The sequence below is a fragment of the Homo sapiens genome, chromosome 1 (genome assembly GCF_000001405.40).
Source record: "Homo sapiens chromosome 1, GRCh38.p14 Primary Assembly".
Taxonomy (NCBI): domain Eukaryota; kingdom Metazoa; phylum Chordata; class Mammalia; order Primates; family Hominidae; genus Homo; species Homo sapiens.
This window is the reverse complement of record NC_000001.11, coordinates 182,002,613-182,016,987: the sequence shown is the minus strand read 5'-3', so window position 1 is coordinate 182,016,987 and position 14,375 is coordinate 182,002,613. Positions and strand designations below refer to the sequence as shown.

Sequence of the window (14,375 nt, the reverse complement as noted above, 5' to 3'; positions counted from 1 at the left end):
TCAGTGAGGAAAACTGCATGTTTATAGGGAAGTGAGGTTGGCATGTTACAGTTACGAAATCTGCTGGGTGGCTTGGATAGTATCTTGTTGGAGAAAGGACTCCTAGTCAAGTTTTAGGCCTAATTCTGCTCCTAAGATACTTGCCCTGGAAAAAATCACTGATGTCCCTAAGTCTCTTTTCTATAATTTGAAAATTGGGCATTAAAACAGCTGAGCTTCAGAGTCCTTTTCAGGTCTATCATCCTAAAATTATGTAATTCGTGAATCACAATAATTTCAGAAAACATAAGTACATTTTTCCCCCATATGGGGCCACCATCCATAATTCTCAAACACTATTATTAAAGAAGATAAAATAGAAAAAAAAAAACAGGTTCTATGGCTATTTTAAGGGTCTATTGGCATAATTCCATGAAGCATTTTGGTAAGTGACCTTGTTTTAGTTCTGCAGTTTTAAATTTCAAGAAAGTTTTCAGACCAAGCTGTATCACCCTTGGAGAGGGAGTGGCTGAAGGAGAAAAATGGTTATTATGTCTAAGCCTCTGTACACTGCACTGAACTCGGAAGTGACGTTGTACATTGGCTGGGCCAGAGATTGATGAGATGCACCTGACTCAGATGAAGACATATCCTGATTAGTCTATAGACAGAACTACTGGAGGGGATTAATCAAGCTTCACATGACCCTCACTTACTTGGACTTAGCAACATCTGTGCTTCCTTCCCCTCCCCTCCAACAGAATCAGGGAGGGGGTTCTAGAAGCTTGCCCCTGCATGTTTGCTCTAAAAAATAATGCTAAATTCTGTATCCTTCCTTTTGTACCCTTTAGAGAATTGAACTTTATCTAAAAAACCCAAGAAAAGACTGTCAGATATTTCCTGTAGTCTGAAACTGTAATTGAACTTAACAGTACAGTGGTTGTTTATGTAAAAATGAAGGAATCCAGCCTGGCACGGTGGCTCATGCCTGTAATCACAGCACTTTGAAAGGCCAAGGTGGGTGAATCACGAGGTCAGGAGTTTGAGACCAGCCTGACCAATATGGTGAAACCCTGTCTTTACTAAAAACAAAAATTAGCAGGGCGTGGTGGCGTGCACCTGTAGTCCCAGCTACTTGGGAGGCTGAGGCAGAAGAATCGCTTGAACCTGGGAGGCAGAGGTTGCAGTGAGCCGAGATCGCACCACTGCACTCCAGCCTGGGTGACTGAGATTCTGTCTCAATAAATAAATAAAAACAATCCAATAATTTATTCTTAGTCTAGTATAGAAAAAAAGCATATGTTGAGGCAACCAAGAATTGAGTAGCAAATGAAACATTAGAATTTCCCGTGAAAACAAATACTACATGGAATGAAACTGGGCCTCCAAAGCTTTATCTTAAGGATAGCAAGAAATAACCAACAGTAAATCCCATACATTGAGAAGAGCCAGCAGGAGGCAGCAGATCTCATTGACTAGGGGAAGCACTTGCCCTACAGTAGATCTGAGGTCGTATTTCTTTTCTAAGTCATATTTTTTTTTTCATTTCAATTATATGAATTGAATCAATCTACTTCATGGGTTTCTCTACTTTGCATTCACTTTTGAAGGATATTCTCCCTGCATGTGAAATTTTAGGAAGTTTTTTGGGAGTTTTTTCAGCACTTTACACATGTTGTTCCTTTGTCTTGGGTCCTCCATCATTTTTTGTTTGCATTGTGTTTTTGTTTTTGTTTTGTTTGTTTTTGTTTTTGACACGGGGTCTCACTCTTGCCAAGGCTGGAGTGCAGTGGCATGATCTTCACTCCCTACAACCTTGGCCTCCTGGGCTCAAGCGATTCTCCCACTTGAGCCTCCCAAGTCGCTGGGACTACAGGTGTGTACCACCATGTCCAGCTAATTTTTGTATTTTTTGTAGATGAGGTTTCACCATGTTGCCCAGGCTGACATTGAACTCCTGGACCCGAGCAATCCACCTGCCTCGGTCTCCCAAAATGCTGGGATTACGGGTGTGAGCCACCATGCCTGGCCAGGTCCTCCAGTGATTCTGATGAAAAATCAACTGCCATTCTTCTCAATGTTCCTTTTTATGTATTGTGACTATATTTTTCAGGTTATTTTAAAGACTTTTGTTTGTTTCAAAAAAGGCTTTGGTCTTCAGTAGTTTGACATAATGTGCCTGTATGGTTTTCCTTGTGTTTATCTTGCTCAGGATTGTTGAAATTTTTGGATTGTAGGTTGATTTGTTTTTAACAATTTAGAAAAATATTTGCTATGATTTTTTCAAACATTTTTTTTTGCTCCAGTCTATGTCTTCTCTCTCTCTTTTCTCTTCAGTTATATGTATATATTGCTTTATGTTGTTCCATATGTCTCTGGGATTCTTCTTATTGATTTTTTTCTCTTTGTAAATCAGTTTGAATTGTTTCTATTGTTTCAGTAAATAATCTTTACTTTTACAGTATCCAATCTGCTATTAATCCCTTCAAGTACATATTTCCTTTCAGATGTTGTACTCTCAATTCTATAATTTCCATTTGATTTTGTTATAGTTTCCATTTTTCTGCTGAGATTTCCCCATCTGCTCACTTATTATATGTATAGTTTTCTTGAAACCCTTGAGTATATTTATAATAGTTTAAAAATATTTTTCTGCTAATTTAAACATCTATGTCATCTTGAATCTGTTTTCATTTAGGTGTGTGTATGTGTAATTAACACTAATTTTGCTATTCTTGTATTTAGTGTTTTTTTTTTTAATCATACATTAGATGTATCAATTGCTATGTTAAAGAAAGTCTGGATTATGCCATCTCCTTCAAAAGGTACTGAGTTTTGTTCTAGCAAGTAGTTAACTTACTAGTGAGTCATTTTGATCCTGGGGTGACTTGGCTTTAGGCTTTGTTAGAGCAAGTCTAGAGTAGCCCTCACTCTATGCTATGGTCTTCAGTCCTAAAGAGTGGCCTTTCTAGCATTCAATTGTTTACATTGAGTGTTCAGCAAAGCCTTTCCACTTTGGCTGGTAGGAATCCCAACATCTCCCAGTTTTGTGCAAGCTCTTGCATTTTCTTCTGGCTAGAGCACTGCCCCCCACAACCCCAGCAGCGATTCCATGCCATGTCCTTATAGAGTCTTCCTACATGTTTGTGCAACTTAGTTTTCACCCAAAAAACCAAGGAGACTTCTACACATGTTTCTGGGGCTGCTTGTTTACAGAGCTCCTGCCTCATTAGTACCACAAATCTGAGCTACCCCAGCATTACTAACCTCTAGTCTGTGTTTTCTCCATCCAGCATGACCACTGCCTTTTGTGTTGCCCTCAAGCAGAACCTGTGGTGAATATTGAGCTCACCTCCTGTGTTTTCTTCTTAAGGATTACTGCCTTGTGCTACCTCTTATCCAACACCTAAAAATTGATGCTTTATGTATTTATACATTTTTAGAGTTATTCATTTGGAAAGTAAGTCCAAAATTCATTATTCATCATAGCCAGAGCCATAATATTATGTGCCTCTCTAGATCTATCTCATTTATGCCTTGTGTCTTCTATCAAAAGCATTTGGCTTTGATACTAGACCTTGTCCTGATACAAGACTGTGCTCATCACTTAGAAACCTGGAAAATAAATATCCTTTTTCCTTTCAGCTCTGATTCTTTTACTTTTTTATTTACATATAGATATTCAAAGTGATCATATTTTTTTTGCCCTTACATACTTGAGTAGGATTGGTATTTAATTGTGGAGCTTATTATAATGATTCTCAATGACTTCAGCAGAGGTTTTTGTTTTGTTTTATTTTGTTTGTCCTAGAATATTATGTGGGCACTTACTAGAAATAAGTAAACCATGGCCCAGGTCTTGAAAAACTTTTTGCTAGTGTTTGATGAAATAAAAATTAACCTGGTATATCTTTTTATTTTTTATCAGTTTTTTTATTTCAGTAGGTTTTTGGGGAACAGGTGGTATTTGATGAAATGGACAAGTTCTTTAGTGGTGATCTCTGAGATTTTTGTGCACCCATCACCTGAGCAGTGCACACTGTACCCAATGTGTAGTCTTTTATCTCTCGCCCCACTCTCACCTTTCCCCTTGAGTCCCCAAGTCCACTGTGTCATTCTTATGTCTTTGCATCCCCATAGCTTAGCTTCCCCTTATAAGTGAAAACATACGATGTTTGTGAGTTACTTCACTTAGAATAATGGCCTCCACTTCCATCCAGGTTGCTCCAAATGCCGTTATTTCATTCCTTTTTATGGCTCAGTAGTATTCCATGGTGTGTACACATATTTCTGGGTCTGCTTTTTTACATATATATATATATCACATTTTATTTATTCACTTGTTGGTTGATGGGCATTTGGACTGGTTCCATATTTTTGCAATTGCAAACGGTGCTGCTATAAACATGCTTGTATAAGTGTCTTTTTCATATAATGACTTCTTTTCCTCTGGGTAGATATCTAGTAGTGGGATTGCTGGCTTAAATGGTAGATCAACTTTTAGTTCTTTAAGGACTCTCCACACAGTTTTCCATAGTGGTTGTACTAATTTACATTCCCACAGCAGTGTAAAAGTGTTCCCTTTTCACCACATCCATGCCAACATCTATTATTATTATTATTTTTAAAATTATGGCCATTCTTTTAGGAGTAAGCTTGTATCATATTGAGGTTTTGATTTGTATTTCCCTAATAATTAGAGATGTTTAGCATTTTTACATATGGCCACTTGTATAACTTCTTTTGAGAATTGTCTAGTCATGTTCTTAGGCCACTTTTTGATGAGATTTTTTTTTTCTTGCTGATTTGTTTGAATTCCTTGTAGATTCTGGGTATTAGTCCTTTGTCGGATGCATTGTTTGCAAATATTTTCTCCCACTCTATGAGTTGTCTGTTTACTCTGCTGATTATTTCTTTTGCTCTTCAGAAGCCTTTTAGTTTAATTAAGTCCCATCTATTTATCTTTGTTTTTGTTGCATTTTCTTTTGGGTTCTTGGTCATGAAGTCTTTGCCTAAGTCAATGTCTAGAAGAGTTTTTCTGATGTTATATTCTAGATTTTTTATGGTTTCAGGTCTTAAGATTTAAGGTCCGTGTTGAGTTGATTTTTGTTTAATGTGAGAGCTGAGGATCCAGTTTCATTCTTCTTTTTTTTTATTTTTTATTTTTTTATTTTGAACCATCCTTTTAGAGTAACAGAGATTTATGATACTTGTTAATATTTGGCAGAGCAAGTCACTTCTTTTTTTTTTTTTTTTTTTTTTTAGTATTTATTGATCATTTTTGGGTGTTTCTCGGAGAGGGGGATTTGGCAGGGTCATAGGACAATAGTGGAGGGAAGGTCAGCAGATAAACATGTGAACAAGGGTCTCTGGTTTTCCTAGGCAGAGGACCCTGCGGCCTTCCGCAGTGTTTGTGTCCCTGGGTACTTGAAATTAGGGAGTGGTGATGACTCTTAACGAGCATGCTGCCTTCAAGCATCTGTTTAACAAAGTACATCTTGCACCGCCCTTAATCCATTTAACCCTGAGTGGACACAGCACATGTTTCAGAGAGCACGGGGTTGAGGGTAAGGTTATAAATTAACAGCATCCCAAGGCAGAAGAATTTTTCTTAGTACTGAACAAAATGGAGTCTCCTATGTCTATTTCTTTCTACACAGACACAGTAACAATCTGATCTCTCTTTCTTTTCCCCACATTTCCCCCTTTTCTATTGGACAAAACCGCCATCATCATCATGGCCCGTTCTCAATGAGCTGTTGGGTACACCTCCCGGATGGGGTGGCGGCCCGGCAGAGGGGCTCCTCACTTCCCAGATGGGGCGGCGGCCGGACGGGGCGGCTGGCCGGGCGGGGGCTGCCCCCCACCTCCCTCCCGGACGGGGCGGCTGGCCGGGCAAGGGCTGCCCCCCACCTCCCTCCCGGACCGGGCGGCTGGCCGGGCGGGGGCTGCCCCCCACCTCCTGGACGGGGCAGCTGCCGGGCAGAGACGCTCCTCACTTCCCAGAGGGGGCGGCTGCCGGGCTGGAGGGGCTCCTCACTTCTCAGACGGGGCAGCCAGGCAGAGATGCTCCTCACCTCCCAGACGGGGTGGCGGTCGGGCAGAGACACTCCTCAGATCCCAGATGGGGTCGCGGCCAGGCAGAGGCGCTCCTCACATCCCAGACGGAGCAGCGGGGCAGAGGCGCTCCCCACATCTCAGACGATGGGCAGCCGGGCAGAGACGCTCCTCACTTCCTAGATGGGATGGCGGCCGGGAAGAGGTGCTCCTCACTTCCCAGACTGGGCGGCCGGGCAGAGGGGCTCCTCACATCCCAGACGATGGGCAGCCAGGCAGAGACGCTCCTCACTTCCCAGACGGGGTGGTGGCCAGGCAGAGGCTGCAATCTCGGCACTTTGGGAGGCCAAGGCAGGTGGCTGGGAGGTGGAGGTTGTAGCGAGCCGAGATCACGCCACTGCACTCCAGCCTGGGCAACATTGAGCACTGAGTGAGCGAGACTCCGTCTGCAATCCCGGCACCTCGGGAGGCCCAGGTGGGCAGATCACTCGGGGTCAGGAGCTGGATACCAGCCCAGCCAACAGGGTGAAACCCCGTCTCCACCAAAAAATACAAAAACCAGTCAGGCGTGGCGGCGCGTGCCTGCAATCCCAGGCACTCGGCAGGCTGAGGCAGGAGAATCAGGCAGGGAGGTTGCAGTGAGCCGAGATGGCGGCAGTACAGTCCAGCCTCGGCTCGGCATCAGAGGGAGACCGTGGAAAGTGGGAGACGAGGGAGCGGCATCAGAGGGAGACCGTGGAAAGTGGGAGACGAGGAAGAGGGAGAGGGAGCCAGTTTCATTCTTCTACATGTGGCTTGCCAGTTATCCCAGCACCATCTGTTGAATAGGGTGTCCCTTCTCCACTTAAATGTTTTTGCTTAGTTTGTCAAAGATCTGTTGGCCGCAAGTATTTGGCTTCATTTCTGGGCTCCCTATTCTGTTTCACTGGTCTGTGTGTCTATTTTTATGCCAGTACCATACTATTTTGGTGACTATAGTCTTGTAGTGTAGTTTGAAGTCAGGTAATGTGATGCCTCCAGATTTGTTCTTTTTACTTAATCTTCCTTTGGCTATGCAGGTTCTCTTTTGGTTCCATATGAATTTTAGGATGTTTTTCTAATTCTGTGAAGAATGATGATGGTATTTTGATAGGAATTGTTTTAAATTTGTATATTCCTTTTGGCAGTATGGTCATTTTCATCATATTGATTCTATCCATCCATGAGCATGGGATGTTTTTCCATTGGTTTGTGTCATCTGTGATTTCTTTCAGCAGTGTTTTGTAGTTTTCCTTGTAGAGGTATTTCACCTCCTTGGTTAGGCATATTTCTAGGTTGGTTTTTTTTTCAGCTATTATTAAAGGGGTGACTTTTGTATTTGATTCTCAGCTTGGTTACTGTTGGTGCATAGCAGAACTACTGATTTGTGTACATTAATTTTTTATCCCGAAATTTTGCTAAATTCATTTATCAGTTCTAAGAGCTTTTTGGAGGAGTCTTTATGATTTTCTAGGTATATGAGCATATCATCCACAGACAGCAACAGTTTGACTTCCTCTTCACCAATTTGGATGCCCTTTATTTTTTTCTCTTGTCTGATTGCTCTCGCTAGGACTTCTAATACTATGTTGATTAGAAGTAGTGAGAGTGGGCGTCCTTATTCCAGTTCTCGGGAGGAGTGCTTTCAACTTTATTCAGTGTTATGTCAGCTGTGGGTTTGTCATAAATGGCTTTTATTACATTAAGATATGTCCCTTCTATGCCAATTTTGCTGAGGGTTTTAATCATAAAGGGATGCTGGGTTTTGTCAAATGCTTTTTTTTGCATCTATTGAGATGATAATGTGATTTTTGTTTTTAATTCTGTTTATGTGGTGTATCACATTTATTGACTTGCATATGTTAAACCATCCCTGAATCCCTGGTATGAAACCCACTTGATCATGTTGGATTATCTTTTAGATATGCTGTTGGATTCAATTCACTAGTATTTTGTTAAGGATTTTTGCATCTATATTCATTAGGGATAGTGGCCTGTAGTTTTCTTTTTCTGTTATGTCCTTTCCTGGTTTTGGTATCAGGGTGATACTGGCTTCATAGAATAATTTAGGGAGTATTCCCTCTTTATCTTGTGGAATAGTGTCAATAGGATTGGTACCAACTATTCTTTGAACATCAGACAGAATTCAGCACCAGCTGTGAATCCATCTGGTCCTGGACTTTGTGTGTGTGTGTGTGTGTGCGGCAATTTTTAAATTACCATTTCAGTCTTGCTGCTTGTTATTGGTGTGGTCAGAGTTTCTATTTCTTGCTGGCTTAATCTAGGAGGGTTGTGTATTTCCAGGAATTTATGTATCTCCTCTAGGTTTTCTAGTTTATACACATAAAGGTGTTCATGGTAGCCTTGAATGATCTATTTCTGTGGTATCAGTTGTGATATCTCCTGTTTTGTTTCTAATTGAGCTTATTTGGATCCTCGCTCTTCTTTTCTTGGTTAATCTCACTAATGGTCTATCAATTTTATTTATCTTTCCAAAGAACAAGCTTTTTGTTTCATTCGTTTTTTGTATTTTTTGTTTGTTTATTTCAGTTTCATTTAGTTCTGCTCTGATCTTTGTTATTTCTTTTCTTCTGCTGTGTTTTGGTTTGGTTTGTTCTTGTTTCTCCAGTTTCTTGAGGTGTGACCTTAGATTGTCTATTTGTGCTCTTTTAGACTTTTTGATGTAGGCACTTAAAAATATAAACTTTCCTCTTAGCACTGCCTTTGCCATTTCCCAGAGGTTTTGATAGGATGTGTCACTATTATCTTTCAGTTCAAAGAATTTTCAAATTTCCATCTTGATTTCATTTTTGATCCAATGATCATTTAGGAGCAGGTTATCTAATTTCCATATATTTGCTGGTTTTTAGGGTTCCTTTTAGAGATAATTTCCATTTTTATTCCACTGTGGTCTGAGAGAGTACTTGGTAGAATTTTCTTATATTTATTGAGACTTGTTTTGTGGCCTATCATGTGGTCTATTTTGGAGAATGTTTCATGTGCTAATGAATAGAATGTATATTCTGCAGTTGTTAGGTAGAATGTTCTGTAAATATCTATTAAGTGCATTTGCTCTAGGGTATAGTTTATTTTTATTTTATTTTAATTTTTTTATTTTTTTTGAGTCGGAGTCTCACTCTGTCACCCAGGCTGGAGTACAGTGGTGTGATCTTGGCTCACTGCAACTCCGCCTCCCATGTTCAAGCAATTCTCCTGTCTCAGCCTCCTGAATAGCTAGGATTACAGGCATGCACCACCATGCCCAGCAAATTTTAGTATCTTTAGTAGAGACAGGATTTCACCATGTTGACCAGGCTGGTCTCGAACTCCTGACCTCAAATGATCCACCCTCCTTGGCCTCCCAAAGTGCTGGGATTGCAGGTGTGTGAGCCGCTGTGCCCGGCCTGTTCTAATGTATAGTTTAAGTCCATTGTTTCTTTGTTGACTTTCTGTCTTGATGACCTGTCTAGTGCTGTCAGTGGAGTACTGAAATCCCCACTATTATTGTGTTGCCATCTATCTCATTTCTTAGGTCTAGTAGTAATTGTTTTATAAATTTGGGAGCACCAGTGTTAGGTGCATATAAATTTAGGATTGTGATATTTTCCTGTTGAACTACAAATTTTGTCATTATATAATGTCCCTTTTTGTCTTTTTAAACTGTTGTTGCTTTAATGTTCCTTTTTTCTGATATAAGAATAGCTACTTCTGCTTGGTTTTGGTGTCCATTTTCATGGAATATTTTTTTTTCACTCCTTTAAGTTTTTGTGAGTCTTTATTTGTTAGGTGAGTCTCTTGAAGATAGCACATACATGGTTAGTGAATTCTTATCCATTCTGCCATTCTGTGTCTTTTAAGTGGAGCATTTAGGCCATTTACTTTCCATGTTAATATTGAGATGTGAGGTACTTTTCTATTCATCATGCTAGTTGTTGTCTGAATACCTTGTTTTGTTTTCATTTTATTATTGTTTTATAGGCCCTGTAAGATTTATGCTTTAAGGAGGTTCTATTTTGGTGTATTTCAAGGATTTATTTCAAGACTTAGAGCTCCTTTTAGCAGTTCTTGTAGTATGGGCTTAGTAGTGGTGAATTCTCTCAGCATTTGTTTTTCTGAAAAAGACTGTATCTTTCCTTTATTTATGAAGCTTAGTTTCACTGTATACAACATTCTTGGCTGATAATTGTTTTGTTTAAGGAGGCCAAAGATAGGACCCCAATCCCTTCTAGCTTGTAGGGTTTCTCTTGAGAAATCTCCTGTTAATCTGATAGGTCTTCCTTTATAGGTTACCTGATGCTTTTGCCTGAAAGCTCTTAAGATTCTTTCCTTCATCTTGACTTTAGATAACCTCATGACTGTGTGCCTAGGTGATGATCTTTTTGCAATGAATTTCCTGGGAGTCCGTTGAGCTTCTTGTATTTGAATATCTAGATCTCTAGCAAGGTCAAGAAATTTCCCTCAATTATTCCCTCAAATATGTTTTCCAAACTTTTAGATTTATCTTCTTCCTCGGGAACACCAATTATTCTTCGGTTTGGTCGTTTAACATAATCCCAAACTTCTTGGAGGCTTTATTCATTTTTTTAAATTCCTTTTTCTTTGTCCTTGTTGTATTGGGTTAATTCAAAAGCCTTGTCTTTGAGCTCTGAAGTTCTCTCTTCTACTTGTTTGATTCTATTGTTGACTTTTTGGTGTATTTTGCATTTCTCTAAGTGTGTTTTTCATTTCTAGAAGTTGTGATTGTTTTTTATTTATGCTGTCTATTTCTCTGGAGATTTTTCTGTCTATATCCTGCAACATTTTAAAAATTTCTTTAAGTTGGTATTCACCTTTCTCTGATGCTTACTTGAGTAGCTTAATAATTGGCCTTCTGCCATCAGAGAAATGCAAATCAAAACCACAATGAGATACCATCTCACACCAGTTAGAATGGCGATCATTAAAAAGTCAGGAAACAACAGGTGCTGGAGAGGATGTGGAGAAATAGGAACACTTTTACACTGTTGGTGGGACTGTAAACTAGTTCAACCATGTGAAAGACAGTGTGGCAACTCCTCAAGGATCTAGAACTAGAAATACCATTTGACCCAGCCATCCCATTACTGGGTATATACCCAAAGGATTATAAATCATGCTGCTATAAAGACACATGCACACATACGTTTATTGTATGCTATAAAGACACATGCACATATACGTTATTGTGTCTTTACTATTCACAATAGCAAAGACTTGGAACCAACCCAAATGTCCATCAGTGATACACTGGATTAAGAAAATGTGGCACATATACACCATGGAATACTATGCAGCCATAAAAAAGGATTAATTCATGTCCTTTGTAGGGACATGGATGAAGCTGGAAAACATAATTCTCAGCAAACTATCGCAAGGACAGAAAACCAAACACTGCATGTTTTCACTCATAGGTGGGAATTGAACAATGAGAACACTTGGACACAGGAAGGGGAACATCACACACCAGGGACTGTTGTGGGGTTGGGGGATGGGGGAGGGATAGCATTAGGAGATATACCTAATGTAAATGACAAGTTAATGGGTGCAGCACACCAACATGGCACATGTATACATACGTAACAAACCTGCACATTGTGCACATGTACCCTAGAACTTAAAGTATAATTTAAAAAAATATATATATATATATGTAAAATGCCTGGCACGTAGTCAACCCACGTGTTAGTGATTGCTACAATTTAATTAATTTGATAGCGTGTTCAGAGCTAGATTTAGGGTGTGGCTATCATGGGTGCTAAAATATAACAGGTACATAAAAATATCCCTAGAAATATCATGAGATGAATAAAACTGTATTTATCAGAAAAAACAATTGGCCTTCTGAATTCTTTTTCTGGAAATTCAGAGATTTCTTCTTGGCTTACATCCATTGCTGGTGAGCTACTGTGATCTTTTGGGGGTGTCAAAGAACCTTGTTTTGTCATATTACCAGAATTGTTTATCTGTTTTTTTCTCATTTGGGTAGACTATGACAGAGGGAAGATCTGGGACTCAAGGGCTGCACTCCAGATTCTTTTGTCCCATGGGGTGCTTCCTTGATGTGGTGCCCTCCCCCTTCCCCTAGGGGTGGGGCTTCCTGAATGCAAAACTGCAGTGATTGTTATTTCTCTTCTGGGTCTAGCCACCCAGCGGGCCTACTGGGCTCTGAGCTCGTACTGCGGAGTGTCTGCAAAGAGTCCTGTGATGTGATCCATCTTCAGGTCTCTCAGCCATGGATACCAGCACCTGCTCTGGTGGTGGTAGCAGGGAAGTGAGGTGGACTCTGTGTGGGACCTTAGTTGTAGTTTTGTTTAATGCTCAGGTGTTCTCGAATGCTGGTTTTGCTGGCAGTAAAGTTGTCACGTGGACAGACTCAGGACCTCTAGTTAGCCAGGATGTCACAGGCAGTGGAGTTAGCTATTGTTTTCTCCTTTCTTGGGGAAGGGTTATTCTTTTATGAGTTGCTGTAATGGTTTGTGTTGGTTGGCCTCCAGCCAGGAGGTGGCGCTTTGAAGAATGCATCCGCTGCAGTATTATAGGAAGGATACAAGCTTGCCCTAGGGTAGCCTAGATAAATACTGGGGTTTCTCAGGTGGTGGGTGGTGCCATAGAGCTCTCAAGAGATTATGACTTCGGCTGCCACAGCGCGTAGAGAAAGACCATAGGTGGGGGAAGGGTTAAGTGTGTCTGAGCTCAGACTTTCCTTGGGTGGGGCTTGCTGTGGCCACTGTGGGGATGGGGCTGTGTTTCTCAGACTGACGGAGTTATATCCCTAGGGGGATTATGGCTGCAGGTCACCAGGGAAGTGGGAGGTTGCCGCAGTGACAGGCCCCACCCAGCTCCCACACAGCCAGTTAGGCCAGTCTCACTCCCACCATGCTCCCCCAACAGCACCGAGTTTATATCCAGGCAGCTGGTAAGCAGGACTGGGAACTTGCTCCAGGCTACAAGCGCCGCCACCCTCCCCACCCCCCCAACCCCGCGCCCAAGAAAGCAAGCAGGGTTTTCAGGTTTTGCCCCTCCTCACCATGGCTTCTGTGATTGCACTTCCCATTCACCCCCAGATTCTGCCCTGGAAAATTCATGCTTGGTTGAAATTATTACAAAGCAGCTGGAAGTTTCCTTCTCCCTGTGGTCCTTCCCCAACTCCACTGACAGCCCTCCTCAAGGACTTCTGTGAGATAAAAGTCAGAAATGGGTTCCCTGGGCTTTCTTGGGGCCTGGGAGTGCCTACAGGGCTCTTCATGCTGCTGCTTCTACTTTTATATTTCTCCCAGCTTTCTAAATTCGTTTCAGCTCTAGGTAAGGTTAAATTCTTCTCCTGTGATCTGGATTTTCAGACTCTCCAGTGAGGATGTGTGTTCAGAGGTAGCCTCTCCCGCCTCGCGCTTTGGGCACCCGCAGTTTTTCAGCTGCCTCCTGGAGTTTACAGCAGCAAGCTGCTTTTTTCAAAGGGTCTGTGAATTCTTTTGGTTTTCATGGTATGTTTCTCCAGTGGTTCTTGGAGCAAAAGTTCACAATGTGAGTCTCCACATGCTATTCTGTCCATCTAAGTGGGAGATGCAAGTTAGGCCTGCCTCCTATTTGCCATTATCCCCTGCCTAGAGGTCAATTATCATATTGATCTAGAATGGCTGGGATCCTGGCCAAACCCCACCCTTAAGCCTGGAACCATCGCCCTAAATGAAAACAGCTGACCCTGTTTTTCCACCCAAATGTTGCTTTTTTGGCCTGCCACGCCCCTTTCCTGTGTTCACAAAAATATTTCAGCTGGCAGAGTTATACAATCTGCTGAGCGTCAGGAACACAAGCTGCTGAGCATCGGGGATACAAGTGGCTGAGCGTCAAGCACAGAAGCAGCAACTGAACATCAGAGACTAAGGATAGACATGGCTAACTTCAGATGGTGTGGCTTCAGGGAAACATCACCTTCTTCCTGCACTACCTCCTTTCCAATTCCCCATCCCACTGAGAGCCACGCTTATTGCCCAATAAAATCCTCCGTGTATACTACCCTTCAATCCGTTTGTGTGACCTGATTCTTCCTGGGCGCCAGACAAGAACTCGGGTGCCAAGAGGGCAGGGGCTTGGATGCTGCTGCAGGACCTGCACAGAGCCTGCTTCTGCCAGACAGGAGTGACCGGCTGGTTCCAGCATTTGTTCCCTCTGTTTCCTGCGCTCACTTTCTCACACACTCCCTCTTGTGAGGAGTGGCCAGTGGCAGGCTGAGTGAACCGAGCCACCCTAGTTCCCGCCCATGAAGGGAGTCAAGGTCAAGGGAACAATCCCATCTCAATATTTTT

The 14,375-nt window shown here is 41.7% G+C and overlaps 1 long non-coding RNA gene across 1 annotated transcript; it reads left to right on the top strand.

Moving 5' to 3' along the window:
- Positions 1 to 12,672: 12,672 nt before the first annotated feature.
- LOC105371640 (uncharacterized) lies at positions 12,673 to 14,093 on the top strand. The gene is made up of 3 exons (XR_922337.2): positions 12,673 to 12,737; positions 13,413 to 13,553; positions 13,843 to 14,093. It is a non-coding gene; the product is annotated as an uncharacterized LOC105371640 (long non-coding RNA).
- Positions 14,094 to 14,375: the final 282 nt, after the last annotated feature.